At 34.7% G+C, this 15,330-nt stretch overlaps 1 protein-coding gene across 18 annotated transcripts in view; it reads left to right on the forward strand.

The window, feature by feature from the left end:
- Positions 1-15,330, forward strand: part of USP47 (ubiquitin specific peptidase 47) — a 119,916-nt gene that overhangs the window by 54,879 nt on the left and 49,707 nt on the right. For 15 of the 18 annotated variants that reach the window (NM_001372095.1, NM_001372093.1, NM_001372094.1 and 12 more), the window contains 4 exons: positions 747-843; positions 5,865-6,010; positions 6,413-6,492; positions 8,549-8,698. In NM_001372095.1, coding sequence (NP_001359024.1) covers positions 747-843; positions 5,865-6,010; positions 6,413-6,492; positions 8,549-8,698 — 473 coding nt within the window. Of the gene's footprint in view, positions 1-746; positions 844-5,864; positions 6,011-6,412; positions 6,493-8,548; positions 8,699-8,775; positions 12,269-12,289; positions 13,417-15,330 lie in introns of those variants that run through there. The other 3 variants (NM_001372098.1, XM_011520196.2, XM_017017954.2) reach the window with 3 other exon arrangements.

Below are 15,330 nucleotides of genomic sequence, written 5' to 3' on the forward strand. Positions count from 1 at the left end.
TCTTAAAATAAAGGTGAAAAAAATAAAAGCTTGAACCTTAGTACAAAGTGAAAAGCAGATAGCTACCATGCTTGGTCTTTTCTTGGAATCCTATAAGTACAGATGGTGTGGATACATATCACCCTTTGCACAGCATGCTGATCTATAGAATTTCATTGACAGGCTTGTTGAAACAGATGAAGTCACTCTGCATTACTTAGAGTCTCAGCTTTTGTGAGTTTGCATGTAGTGAATTTATCTCGTATGTTATTCATTCTTACAGAAATTGGCTTATAGGGCTTGATGACAGGGGTAACTGGTTCTGTATAGTCTTTCTACACTGGATGTGTGTGGTGCTGTTTAAAGTGAATATGTTTATGCTTTTCCATTATAATCTAGTTTAATATGTTTAAAAGTTTAATATGTTTAAACGTTTAGATTTTGGGGGAAAAAGTTTATGTCTATGCCAGTAACACATACTTTACTGAACATATTACTCTTAAAATGTTAATGTCATATAATCTCCATGTGTACCTCTGGACATATCTATAACAAGGTATCCTGACATTTTCTACAAAACAAAGCTTACTTAGAGCACATATTAGAAAAGGGATCTTTTCTTAGGTGCTGTTGAACAAGTTGAAATAATTTCCAAATGAGTAGTAACTTTAACCTCTGAATCTTTACTGTGAATTAAATTCTTATTATGTTTTTGTTATTTTTAATGTAAATGCTGATTAATGTACATTTGTATTTTCTCTTTAAAGGATATGTGGGACTAGTAAACCAAGCAATGACTTGCTATTTGAATAGCCTTTTGCAAACACTTTTTATGACTCCTGAATTTAGGAATGCATTATATAAGTGAGTATTCAAAAAAATTGTATACATAAAATTGATTTAAGAATGAAAATATCACTTTTAACAAAATTTATCTTCTTGCAGTTATTTTAAAGTTTGGGGCATTTCTCACACCATAAGATATAACTTCTTTCCTTACGTAATAACAAAGATCTTGTGAAAAACAGGTATATGAAAAATGTGTGCGGAGAGAGAATCAGAAGTATATAGAGAGCAAAAGGATAAAATTGATGAGATTTACATGTAGGGTAAAAAGCTTCCCTCTCTTGTAGCCTTAACACCCTTTATGAAGAAATAAATAACTGCTTTTGAGAGAATTCGAATATATAAATCCATACTCTCCTTCCACCTCTCAATTTAAGTATCCAAAGTTTTTTTTTAACTTGCAAGTTTTGTTTCTAATTAAAATATAATACTTACAGCTTGTTTCATGTGCGTGTGTGTGCGTGTGTGTGTGTGTGTTTCCTTCTAAAAGACTCCATATACATTAGATAGTTTAAAATGCTCTATGGAGGAAGTCTATGTTTAAGTAAACCCTGAAGTCAGACATTTATTTTTATGAATATCCTATTATGACACATTTAACACACCTTTGCTTTGTATATTTTCTTTAAGATAAACACATAATTTTTTAGTTTTTAAGGATACTTTTAAGTATGAGTAAACTGATTTTTTTTTCCTTTTTTGTGTTACTTTCCACTAACATCTTTAAATTACTGTAAATATGTATTTAGGTTATTTTTGGAACTTTTAATATTGCTGATTGTGTTACTCAACATTATATCACCATTAGATTAATCTGTCAGCTTGTTATCTGAACTTACAGAAGTTGATGTATTTGTCATTCTGTATGCATGTATTGCCCTGTAGTGTTTAAATGCTAGGCACTTGGTGGATAGAGAGGGAATTAGTAATAAGATCTTTGTTCTTGAGTAATTTATAAGTCTTTCTACAATAGCAATATGTATATGTTTGAAATAGTTTAAATAACATTTAAAGACAGCCAAATACCATTAGAGTTTAAAGAGAAGAAAGGTTGGTGAAACTTGGAGAAGAAAGTAAGCTTCAGGTAGGTCATGAAGCTAGATATGGTTTGGCCAGGTTGAGAAGAAAGAGAATACACTGTGCAGATAGGAGGCCTGTCAAAAGTGAAAGTGAATAATAGGAAGGGCTACCTGAGTGTTAGTCATTGTTTGTATCAGATAGTGTTCCGAGCACTTTATATATAGACTCACTTAATTCTCATAGTAACTGTATGAATTTTATGCTATTATTGTCCGCATTTTACAAAGAAGGTAACTGAAGGCACAGAGAAATATAGCTTTGCCTGAAAGCACACTGCTAGAAGTTGCACCTAGTAGATGCCAGGATTCACTACTCTGTTCTGCCTGTGCACTAGCGGATGCCAATAAGCACAGTGTGTTGCGGGGGGCTTCAGGAGATCAGCATAACCAGAGTTTTGTCAGAGTACTGGAGGATGAGGTTAATAAATAGAGTTCAGAGCCTGCTCTCAAAACTAGCACAGACCAGATCGTTGGACAATGTGCCTGTTTTAGGGAGTATGCACAGGAATGGGGATCCTGGGCACTTGTTTAACCATCTGTTTTAATACTCTGAAAGTGGACTGTAAATTTACAGCACTGTAGAGGAAATTAAGAGCATAGCCAGGGCTATTCATCAGCAAACATGTATTGGACATTTACTGTGTGCTAGGCATTCTTTTAGGTATAAGGATTAGAGTGATGAGTAAGAGAAAGTACCTCATTTAGAGCTTCCTTAGGTAAACCTATATATAAGCTCATTTCACAGAATCATGTATGCCAGGTAGAAAATAAAGCTGAGTAATGTGGAGGGAGTAATTGTCAGGAGAAGAGGAGGGGAGGGTCACAGCTTCAGGTAGTAGACAGTAAGGGCCTCCCTGAGGACATTCCAGGAACTTCACAGGAACAAGCCCTCTAAAGATTTACAGTAAGAGCATACAAGGCATAAGAAGCCAGAAGTGTAAAGGTCTTCAAAAAACAAAAGAAACTAGAAATCCGTTGTGACAATCCTGGTGAGTAAGGAAGTAGGAGACAGACATGAGGTCAAACAGAAAGGAAGGCCTTGAGATTGTGAGAATAGAGTGAAGTTTATAGCAGGTGGGGAAACAAAGCCTGAGAGCACTCATGATGTTTCTTAATGTAGAACTAAGAACCTCATTGAACTATCCACAGAGTAGTGCTAGTGGAAAAGGATAGACTATCCACAGAGTAGCGCTACCATGAAAGGATAGACTAGCCACAGAGTAGCACTAGCGTAAAAGGATAGACTATCTAGAGAGTAGCACTAGTGTAAAAGGATAGACTAGAGAGTAGAGCTAGCGTAAAAGGATTGACTATCCAGAGAGTAGCCCTAGCATAAAAGGATAAAGTATCCAGAGAGTAGTGCTAGGATAAAAGGATAGGGTTTTGTTTATTTTCTTCACTTTTTTTTTTTTTTTTTTTTTTTTGAGACGGAGTCTCGCTGTCGCCCAGGCTGGAGTGCAGTGGCGCGATCTCGGCTCACTGCAGGCTCTGCCTCCTGGGGTTCATGTTCATTCTCCTGCCTCAGCCTCCCAAGTAGCTGGGACTACAGGCGCCAGCCACCTCGCCAGGCTAATTTTTTGTATTTTTAGTAGAGATGGGGTTTCACCGTGTTAGCCAGGATGGTCTCGATCTCCTGACCTCGTGATCCGCCCGCCTTGGCCTCCCAAAGTGCTGGGATTACAGGCGTGAGCCACCGCGCCCGGCCTATTTTCTTCACTTTTTGCATAGTAGCCAACAGAGAACCTGCCACTTGATTTGGAGTCATATACGTGATGGGTTAAATACATTGTTTTAGGAAAGTTTATATAGTGCAGTGTACAGGATTGATTTGAAAGATAGAGAACCCCGGAGGAATCTGTTATTAAACCAGGCATGGATATATTAGAGTCAGAATGATGATGGTGGCAGTGGTTACATTTCAGATTGAAAACTAACATGGCTTAGTGACAAATTTTACTTAGGAGTAAAGGAAAGGAAAGAATCACATATGCACCAAAGTTTCTAACTAAGATGACTAAAGTAATGGCAAGTACCAGCAAGACTTAAAACCTTTTCAGGTATTTGTACCAGGACTAAAGGACAGGTGAGAATTCAGTCTTATTTTACAGTAATTCCTCCCTATTAGTGAATTTACCACACAAGAAATTTGAGCATTTTCTGTTTTAACCAATATTTTCTCACAGTTAACAAGAGAATTTTTGATCTCATAATGTCAGTTATAAGTACCCGCTATTGAAGATAACCAGAAAAAAGGGAGCTGGGGATTGAGAATAGAAGAGGGGAGGATTAAAGCAGAAGTAAGGTATTGAATAGAGGTGTTTGCAGGGAAGCCTTGAGAAGAAAAAGGTGAAATGTACTTCATTGACTTCTGTGAGGCGGAAGGGAGTGCCAGTGTGTAACAAAAGGAAGATGAGAACAGAGCTGTGACTTCTCAGTCCTAAAGTAAGAAAAATATTGAACACTCTAATAGAAAGCCATTCCCAAAAGAAAAGAAAAAGTCTTTTAGTATGTCTGTAAAGTGCATCAGAGAAAAATTAAAGCTCAAACCTCCTTTTGAAACTAAAAAGTGGGGAAATAGTAATCTTACTCCTAACTTAAGATGTAAAATAACATTAATATTGTTGTTACTTAATATTTTGTCTTAGGTGTATATTATGAATACAGAATTATTTTAAAGACTTTGGTGGGTACATTACCAACTTTAGTACCTCAATCTTATTTCTTTCCATGAGATCTTAAGTTCTTCAGTTGGGAATTCACTTGTTATTGAGACAGTAGCTGTAGCTAGGGCTAGACTGCTGTTTATCATAAGTTTGTGAGGGTGAAAATCTTACCTGGATTATTATTTTGTTTACTTTCTTATATTCCCTTTCAAAAGCTTTTTATTATGGAAAATTTTAAACATTCAAAAAAAGGGAAGTAGGCTGAGTGCAGTGGCTCACGCTTGTAATCCCAGCACTTTGGGAGGCAGAGGTGGGTGGATCACTTGAGGTCAGGAGTTTGAGACCAGCCTGGCCAACATGGTGAAACCCAGTCTCTACTAAAAATAGAAAAATTAGCCAGGCGTCATGGTGCATGTGTATAATCCCAGCTACTCGGGAGGCTGAGACAGGAGAATCGCTTAAAACCAGGAGGCAGAGATTGCAGTGAGCCAAGATCATCCCACTGCACTCCAGCCTGGGCAACAGAACGAGACTCTGTCTCAAAAAAAAAAAAAAAAAAGAGGGAAATAGTGTAATGAATCCCTCTTCACCAGTCATTCAGCTTTGAATATTATTAATATCAACTCATAGTCAATCTTTTTTGTCTATACCCTCCAACTTGATTGTTTGGAAGCATACCTCCATCATATCATCTGTAAATTATATCTCAGGTCAGGGCTACGATTTCCCTGATTGCGTCATTTAACAATTTGTTTAAATCAAGATCCATATGAGCTGTATATTGCAGTTGATTAATAAAATTCTTAATCTATTTAATTTGTTTATAATCCTCTTTCATCTTTTTTCATCCTTGCAATTTATTCCCTGCAAAAAATAGAAAGAAAACTGATGTCATCTATCCTGTAGTTTTCCACAGTTTGGGTTTTGATGGTTGTATGCCGTAGTATCTCACGTAATAGTATTCTTCTGTTTCCTGTATTTTTGTGAATTAATAATTAGGACAGAGGTTATGGTCAGATTCAGGTTCCACAGTTAAATGAGCTTTGCCTTCTTTTCTTGAGCACTTTTGCCTTGTTATGCCTTGTTATGCCTTTTCTTGTTAAAGTCTAAAGTTCTTCTGAATTTATGAATTAGGGAAACACTAATGTTTCATTAGATATTATTAGTTTCAATTAGCATTCAAACTCTGTATAGCTTCCAGGATTAAAATCTTACATTATTATGATTTTGATATTAATTATGCTTTTAAATAATAAAATCATTTTATAAATACTTTATTAACATTTTATTTTAATAGGTGGGAATTTGAAGAATCTGAAGAAGATCCAGTGACAAGTATTCCATACCAACTTCAAAGGCTTTTTGTTTTGTTACAAACCAGCAAAAAGAGAGCAATTGAAACCACAGATGTTACAAGGAGCTTTGGATGGGATAGTAGTGAGGGTACTAATTCTCTTGTAATGATAAGCGTTCTAATATTCAAACAAATTCTAGAAGACAATAATATTACAAACACATTACACATAATTACCTTTATCTTAAACCTTTCATTGCAAGTTTGTTGTCATATATTTTCTAACACATTTCATAACTCTACAATGAAAAATAACAAACATGACAAATATTGTAGCACCATAAAGCATATATTATTTATAGAATGCTGCAATCTATTTTCTGGCGTGTGATTTCCTTTTCATGACTGTCATGTATATTCTTATGTTCTTTTTTAAATTTGGCATTATTTAAGGTAGACTTCAATATTTCTGTCTATTTGCTTTTAAACAACAGATTGTTTCATTACATAAAGTTTATAGCTATTTCTAATTGAATTTTATCTTAAAACAGCTTGGCAGCAGCATGATGTACAAGAACTATGCAGAGTCATGTTTGATGCTTTGGAACAGAAATGGAAGCAAACAGAACAGGTAATTTATATCTCTCAAATCAAGGGGACTGTTTCCTAATAAATCACTTGTTACCCTAAATGACTTTTATTCTGTTGGAATGTTTTAAAACTTGGGCATTAGTCTCATGGTTAAAGTACCCAATGGGAAATTGAAAGTACTGAGTTCTCATTTAGCCATTAACTGAGTTATAAATACCATCATTAAACCACCCTAGACCTCAGTTTTCTCATCTTTAAGGAAATTGGGCTGTATAACCTGGAAGTTCTCTTTTAGCTCTGAAAATTATACATTTAAAAACTGTATATATGTGTTTTGGGGATGATTTTTGAACAGCATTTTCAGATAATTAGGTAAATTATATGTTTTGTAATCTGTAACACAAGTATAGTCATGAAGCATTACCTTTATTTTGACCAATGAAATATAGTCATATGTATTTGACATTTAGGATCCTCATTAATCTAACCCGATTCTTATGTAATGGAAAGAGGAGCAGGTTAGAAGTGGAAAGAACATTAGATGTTGGGATGAGGAGTAAGGCTGAATGGGATGGGGCTCAATACATGGGAGGGTTTATACTGGGTATAGTAAATGAAGGTCACAGGGATAAAAGGGGAAGAGTATATAAGGTAGCTAGAAGGGTCTGATATCTGATTGGAACTACTGTGATGGCTTGGACCAGTTTTTCCAAATGTAGATTACAATCTATTCACGGGTTATAAAATCAGTTTATTGGGCCTACAACAGCATTTTCAAAAAATGGAATAGAATAGAGCATAAGAGAACATCACATAAGAGTAAGTATTATTTTATAAAGCTCTTGTTACAGTTATATGCACTGGGTTGCAGTGTAAATTATTTTCTTATGGTGATTTGCTATTCAGTATTTGAAAAACACTGGTTTGAACCACTTCAAAAGGCCGTCCTAGGTGAAGAAGACAATCACATATGACTGACGCTGATGAATGAAGAAGGCTTCATTAAATAAGTGGTTTTAGTGTAGACAGTGACGGTCAATCCAGTTTGAAGGCTTATAAATCCTATTTGTTTGAAGAAATGTAAGTTTATGAAAGAGGCAAGATGTAGTACACTTATCCTCATGCCTGTTCTTACTTAGGAGATTATGAAAAAATTTTTAAGTTCATTTAGTGATCTAGTTTCTCTCATAGTCTTATGGGGCTGTGTTTTAGTAACTATGTAGATGGTATTGGGGGCTGTTTCTTCTTCATAGATCTGAAGTTACTCTTTTTCCTGGTTACATCCCTTTCTGTGGGTCAGCACTTCCATTAAGATCAGCTGGGGCATTCCTACTGAGTTCCCAAGTTTTGGTACAAAACTCTTTGGTCCTTACTTAGGGAGTTACCTACCGCCTTTGAGTCAGAAAAGCCCTAGTTAACTAAGTTTGGGGACTAGGTGAGAGATCCATTCTTTTAGGTGAGGATATTTTGAGAGAGGTGGATTTTAAGATTTTTTTTGAATTTCCATACATTTTAAAAAGATTATGGTGTAATATTTCTCTATAAAATTGTGTTATGTATATTACTGAAAGCTAAAAAGTTTGATTTGCATCTTGAGCTAGAGGATATGATTTATACATCAGAATATATTATTGTGAGAAGTGATATACATATGTAAGTTATAAAAACTCAACCAATTGTTTAGCTGTATAATTATTAACATGCTTAAAGTGATAGGTTAGGATTTACTCTCATCTTAATGTAAAGATAATTTGAGGCTTAATTGGTAACTGATTTCATCAAAACATTAATCGTTCGGTTTTCTCATGATGAATATTGAAATCGTTAATTTTTGCACACTGACTCAAATTAGTGTTAATCTAATTTTATTGATTTTAGGTTATTTGTGTTGTTTTGATTTTTTCTATAAAATTTTAGATAAATCTTAAATATTACATAATATATAATAATAAATATAGATAAATATTAATGTTTTCAAAGATTTTAGCTGTAAATATCAATATCCTTTTGTAAACCATTCTAAAAAGTGTAGAATGTTACATGTTTTAAAGGTTATTTTTAAGGAACACTTAAAAATGTAAATATTTTATTTTTAGGCTGATCTTATAAATGAGCTATATCAAGGCAAGCTGAAGGACTACGTGAGATGTCTGGAATGTGGTTATGAGGGCTGGCGAATCGACACATATCTTGATATTCCATTGGTCATCCGACCTTATGGGTCCAGCCAAGCATTTGCTAGTGTGGTGTGTACCTTTCACCTGACTGCTTGTGTATCCTTACACAGAATACATAATAGCACAGTGGTATAATCTCTTGTAAGGTAAGTATCATCCTAGATACACCTTCTTGGGTTGTTAGTCATTCCTGCATTTAAATTAGCAAGATCTAGAAGATTTTTGACCCTTCAGTGAGTCCTAATAGTGCATGTATTATAAGAGAGAAAGTGAATGCAAATGTACTGCCTCATGGTTCAGTGTTTTATTCTTTTGGATAGGTGATTAGATGATTTCACTTTTATCTTTTTTTTTTTTTACCTCTAAACAGTCTATTTTATAAATGCTGTTATTGTGACCACTTTTTGCACTGGAAAGTACTTTGTTTTGGGGGGATTGTTTTGATCCATACACTTTTAAAATTGGTAAAAGCACCTCTGGTTTTTATGACAAACAGTCCATATTTTTAAAAGAAGCATCCCTACTTTAAATATTTAGTTTAAAAAATATACATTGTAGTAGCACAGATAATTCAAAGAATCAAAACTGTAATCACCTTAATTATTCATATACTGAGTATCTGATTGGAGGATTAGCTAAGATTTTCTCATTCCATATGTCATCCATTTCTTAATTGCTTTTTTATAATTTTTTAATTGTATTTTATCTATACATATGTGTATTTACTTATACGACAGGAAAATAATGGAAAGACTTAAGTTGATATTTAAAATTAAAGTGCTCAGAAACATTTATTTGAACCTACCATGTGCCAGGGGAAGCTTTCAAAGCTAAATAAGATATCTTTAAACAATAGAATTTCATTATGTTTTATGTTTTGGTCTTATTTATGTTGTTATTAAACTGATGGTGGCTTGTAGCTAAAAATCAGTTTTTTAAAAGCTTTTCTATACTTCTAAGATAGTGCTACAAGTATGGTTTAGTCCTCTGGCCTCTAGGATGATTGATTCCTTTTGATTTTTTCTCCTACCTTTATATGGCTATTAGGAAATAACCAGCAATAAATTATGGAATCAGTCAATGGAGATACAAAGCAAGCATCTAAGTAAAAGACCTTTTCTGGGTAGCGTAAGATCAAGTCTCCTTTCTGCTACTGTTTTTCATAGTCGGCTTCCTGAGTATATTTGAAAAGTTTTTTAGATGTTTAGTACTACTTTTTTAAATGGCCATCTAGGTGTATTAAATGAGCTTTGGTTTGGATGGCTAGTTTTGGTTTTTATTTTTTAACCTTATTTTGCTTTAATTGGCAGTTCAAAGTAGAAATGACATACTGAAAAAATCATTGAAAAACTAACATTTGTCTTTCAATGACTGATTTCCTAACTAATTTTTAAATACTCGCATTTCTCTGACAAAATATACTAGGGAAATATTTGGTAGTCCCAAGTGATATGGACTATTTTTTATACCTTATTTATTAAAGTATTTTTATGAAAATTTTTCCATATATACATTTAATTTAGTTTTTAACATATTAATTGAATATTGAGGAAGCTAAATTTTGCTGTATTAAATCTTATATTTGAGTATTCAGCAAATATAATTGCTCAGCTAAATCTTTATGTCATTATTTATTCACCTGCTGATTTGCCACCACTCTCTTAAGTATATTAATAGACAAAGTAATGGAGTGATTTGGAGGATACTTCTGGGGATGTGAACAATATCACATTTCTAAATGGAATTCTCCAAAGGTAGTATCCTCCACTGATGATACATGGGTGGTAGTAGTGGTGGTGGTTCAGTGGGAATTGGAAGTTGCAGCTATGAAGCAGTATGTGAGCAGGTTTATAACACACATGCGCTAATAGGGCTTGCGGAAGAGAACTTAAAACTTTCTAGACTTTGCTGGAATCTCTTGAGGGAAATTACAGCAGGTGAAACTACCCAAGATAGGGGTTCTAAGGAGGATACTACCTTCGGAGAACTTTAGTTAGAGGTAAGTGATTTCTCATTATTTTCTGAATTTAAATCTATAACCTAACTCTTCTTAGTCCACAAATATCATCATACAGCATCTAAAATTGGTTATATGTCACTGCTTGCCATTTTGTATTTTGTTAACTGTGTATGTTTCAAAAAGAATTTGACATGCTTTAAAAAGAATTGGAATTATGGATTGCAAAAATCTGGTTAAAAGAGGTACCATAAAATCACTCATTGAGATTATATAAAATTGGCCTGAATTTTAACTGGACTCTCTTAAAATTATTATTCTACCTTTTTTAGTGGACTGGTATTTTTGTCTTATTTAATATATTAGATATAGACGTAGGCTGGGCATAGTGGCTCACACCTGTAATCCCAGCACTTTAGAAAGCCGAGGCGGGCAGATCACTTGAGGACAGGAGTTCGAGACCAGTCTGACAAACATGATGAAACCTCGTCTCTACTAAAAATTAGCTGGGCATTGTGGTGCATGCCTGTATTCCCAGCTACTCGGGAGGCAGAGGCAGGAGAATTGCTTGAACCCAGGAGGCAGAGGCTGCAATGAGCTGAGATCGCACCACTGCACTCCAGCCTGGGCAACTGAGCATGACTCTGTCTCAAAAAAAACAAAAAAAGATATAGATGTAGACATATACACTAGCACGTGCATGTGCACGCACATGTACACACTGATGGTTATATATTCTGTTTATTGTATGTTTTGTTTAGTGTGCCACAATATTATGGGTTTAATTTCAGATAATTAAGAGTGAGGTCTTTTAAAAATTGAAGGGTTTTTCTTTTTTTTCTCTCTCTCTTTTAAAAAATTTATTAAATATTTATTTCTTTTTTTAGAGATGGGGTCTCGCTGTGTTGACCAGGCTGGTCTCAAACTCCTGGCCTCTAGCAATCCTCCTGTCTCAGCCTCTCAAAGTGCTGGGATTTCAGGCATGAGCTACCACGCCCAGCCAGGGTTTTTCTTTTTTAAACCTTCATCTAAAATGTCCAATTTCTGGAGTTGTTTTATCTTTATGGTCAAATAAATTAACTTGCAAATAATAGGTAGGATTAAAATAGGACTGAAAGTAGCACTCATCTAACTTATTATAATATCCACAATCAATTTTTATGGGTTTTTTTTTAGTATGATAACAGGTTATTTTTATAATGAGTGCTGGGAGACTTCTGCAGTTTAAAAAATAAGCTCCCGTAAAGTAGGGAGGTCAAAAAAAGCCTTTTATTATAATAATTTCTTTTTTCAATAGATTTTTAGTTATTGTAACTGATATTTGTTAGATTTCTGATCTTCATTTTACTCATCCAAGTACGGAATCAATATTGAAAGGCTCTTCTGCCATTCTGTATATCTCAGATTGAGTTCTGTTCAATACTAGTCTGTAAAAGGATTTAGTAGATATTTTGGGGAAGGTGTCCTTGATTAAATAGATTTGGGAAACTATAACAATAATCCTCTTTGGAAATATCACAGTGCATATTATATTTTAAATGCCCCAGTGATTCCTGTAGTTGAGAAGTTTGTTTAAATGTGTTTAACCTAGCATTTTCTTTCTCTGTGGGACATCTGTTAATATCTCAAGAGACATTAGGATTCTGAGGAACATAATATGGGAAGCTCTACATTAGATTAAGGTGATTTAAGAATGTCACTACTTTGTTTATATTTGTGTCCTTGGGATGTTGAGAGGGAGTGAGAATACTAAAATATGTGTTATAATTTCCTGTTGTTTTACATATTTTTTATTAATCCTGAAAAATTAATATCAGCTGAAGAATTACTTGTAGTAATCTTTAAATAATTTTGCTCTTAATGACTTATTAGATAGTTAGAACCTTCTATGTTCACTGACTAGATCAAAGTAACTTTGACTATGCTTATTGCCAACCCCATGTGAGAATGTATTAAATAAGGAGATAGTTCTAAGTATATTCTAGTAATACATAGAAATTAGAAATATTAACTTTTTGTTTGTTAATTATGAAAGCATAATTTATAAATTAAAGAAAAACAATGTAGCCTCATGTTTGACATTATCTAAGGAAGTGCTTTTTTATTTAACAGTAAAATTTTAGACACTGTCTTTTTATTGGTGTATTTTGTCATACAACATTTATTTAGGGCCTACTCTATGGCAGACACTGTTCTAGGCCATTTTCTTTTAGGATACTTTTATTCTATTGTTCATTACGTACATTTAAATACCTGTTTATTATGACAAAAACGTGTTCAAAGTTTGATCAGGGTTTAGCTGCATAATTTCATACAGTGCCTTTGGAGAAATAAGATTATATAAAAGACTTGTTTCCTAAGTAAACATAGTTTAATGATTGTTTTAAAGTTTTGAATGGAAAATTGTGAAATTAGTAAGTGTGAAATCAAAAGCATTTCAACTATTTACACAAGTTTATATTATAAGTCTTACCCTGACATAACAGGTGGTTTGGACATTCTTACATGGGTGACTCAGCCACAGAACTCATTTGGGTGAAGCAGTGGTCCAAATTTGTCCAAATATGTAAGCATCAGTTAAAGAAAAATCTCTTCCACAGACTCTACCCTCATTTTTCCAGGAATGTGTATGGTTGGACATAGTGGGAACAAGTTTAAAAAGTGGGGACTTCTGCTTTCAGGAAGATGGAGTAGATGTACATTGCCCTATTCCTCCCACTAAAACAACTGAAAACCTTGAGCATTATATGTAAAATAAACATAAGAAGACTGAAAGGTGGAGAGAAGGCATACACACTAGGGACCTCAGCACCCAAGGAATAACACGGTGGTGAGTTCCATGGGTTTTCTTTTTGCCTAATATATCCCAGGCTTGGAACTGAAGAAGCTGGCAGCCTGGAAACAGCAATGGGTACAGACTGAAAAACCCTGTTCTCTTTAACTGAAGGACGAGGAAAAAGACAGCCTAGCAAGCCAGAAAACTTTTAGACCATAACTGCTGTGCTCTAACCAAACACCACAGAAAGAAAAGGCCTTACATCAACTTGTGCCTGCCAGTGCTGAGTGGGGAGCCTAGATTCTCTGTTCCTTCACCACCTCCCAGGGGTAAAGAGGCGAGCCCCTCCTGCTTGTGTCAGTGTTGGGGTGTAGTACTGAGATACTCCTGCCCTTTACAGCCAAGGTTATATCAGCAGAGGCCTACTGAATACCCAGAATTCCTTTCCCTGCGCAGCACTAACAAGGAGCTTCCTCCATTCAGATGTCCACATAGGCCAAGTGGGAAACCTGGACTTCTAATGCCATCTGGCACTAATATGGCAGAGCCCTTTCCCCAGATGGTACAGTGTCAAAGGAGGCATTTAAACTAGAAGGTTTAAATATGGTCCAGAATCTCATAACACCCCAAATGTCCAGGTTTCAATTAAAAAATCACAAATCTCAGTTTGAGTTAAAAAAGAAAACCAGTAGACATAAACACTGAAATGACAAAGATGTTAGAATTATTTGATAAATATTTTAAAGCAGCCATCATAGAAACACTTCAGTGAGCAGTCCTAAGCACACTGAAAACAATGAAAATTTTAGGGAATCAGTTAGAGATACAAAGAAATGAAAATTTGGAACTGAAAACTGCAATAAGCAAAATTAAAAACCCAGTGGATAGGCTGAACAGCTGAATGAAAGAGACAGTAGGTCGAATCTGTGAACTTGAAGATAGAATGATAGATATTACCCAGTCTAAACAGCAGAGAGAAGATAGACTGAAAAAAATATATATCCTCAAGGACTTATGGGACTATAACAAAAGGTTTAGCACTGTGTCATTGGAATACTGGAAGGAGAGCAAAGGTGTAACACTTGTGTCATTAAAGTCCTGAAAGGAGATTAATAAGGAAAAAGAAGGCAGGCACAAAGAAATAATGGATGAAAATGTTCCAAATTTAGCAAAAGGCATAAACCTACAGATCTGAGTAGCTGAGCAAACCCCAAACACAATAAGCCAAAATAAATCAGGAATGGCCATATTAGTGTCAGATAAAGAAGACTTTAGAGCAAAGAAAATTACCACAGACAGAGAGGGCTGTTACATTGTAATAAAAGTGTCAAACAACCGAGAAGACAACAATCCTAAATGTGTATGCAGAAAATAACACAGCTGCCAAAATACATGAAGGAAAAACTGTCATAACTAAAAGGAAAAAGACAAATCTACAATTACAGTTGCAGACTTCAGCACGCCTCCCTCTCTTACTGATAGGTAGAACAACTAGACAGAAATAGCAAAGAGGTAGAACTCAGCAACACCATCAACCAACAGATCTAATGAACATTGCTAAAGTGCTTCACCCAACAGCAGCAGAATACACATCCTTTTCAAGTATCCATTAAATATATACGAGGATAGACCATATGCTCTGGACCATAAGACCTCAAAAAATTTAAAATCATGGAATGTGTGATTTTTTTCAACAACAGTGGAATCAGATTAGCAGACAGGAATATCACAAAACACTTGGGAAATAACACTTCTAAATGATCCATGGGTCAAAGAGGAAGTCTCAAGGGAAATTTTAAAAATATTTTGAACTTAATGAAAAGTAAAACATAACGAATTTTTTTGAGGCACAACTAAAGCAATACCGAGAGGGAAACTCACAGTATTAAATGCTTATACTAAAAGACAGGAAAAGGGCCAAATCAGAAATCTAAGCTTCCACCTAACCTGAAAAAAGAAGAGCAAAAG

Source organism: Homo sapiens, chromosome 11 (genome assembly GCF_000001405.40).
Source record: "Homo sapiens chromosome 11, GRCh38.p14 Primary Assembly".
NCBI classification, from domain to species: domain Eukaryota; kingdom Metazoa; phylum Chordata; class Mammalia; order Primates; family Hominidae; genus Homo; species Homo sapiens.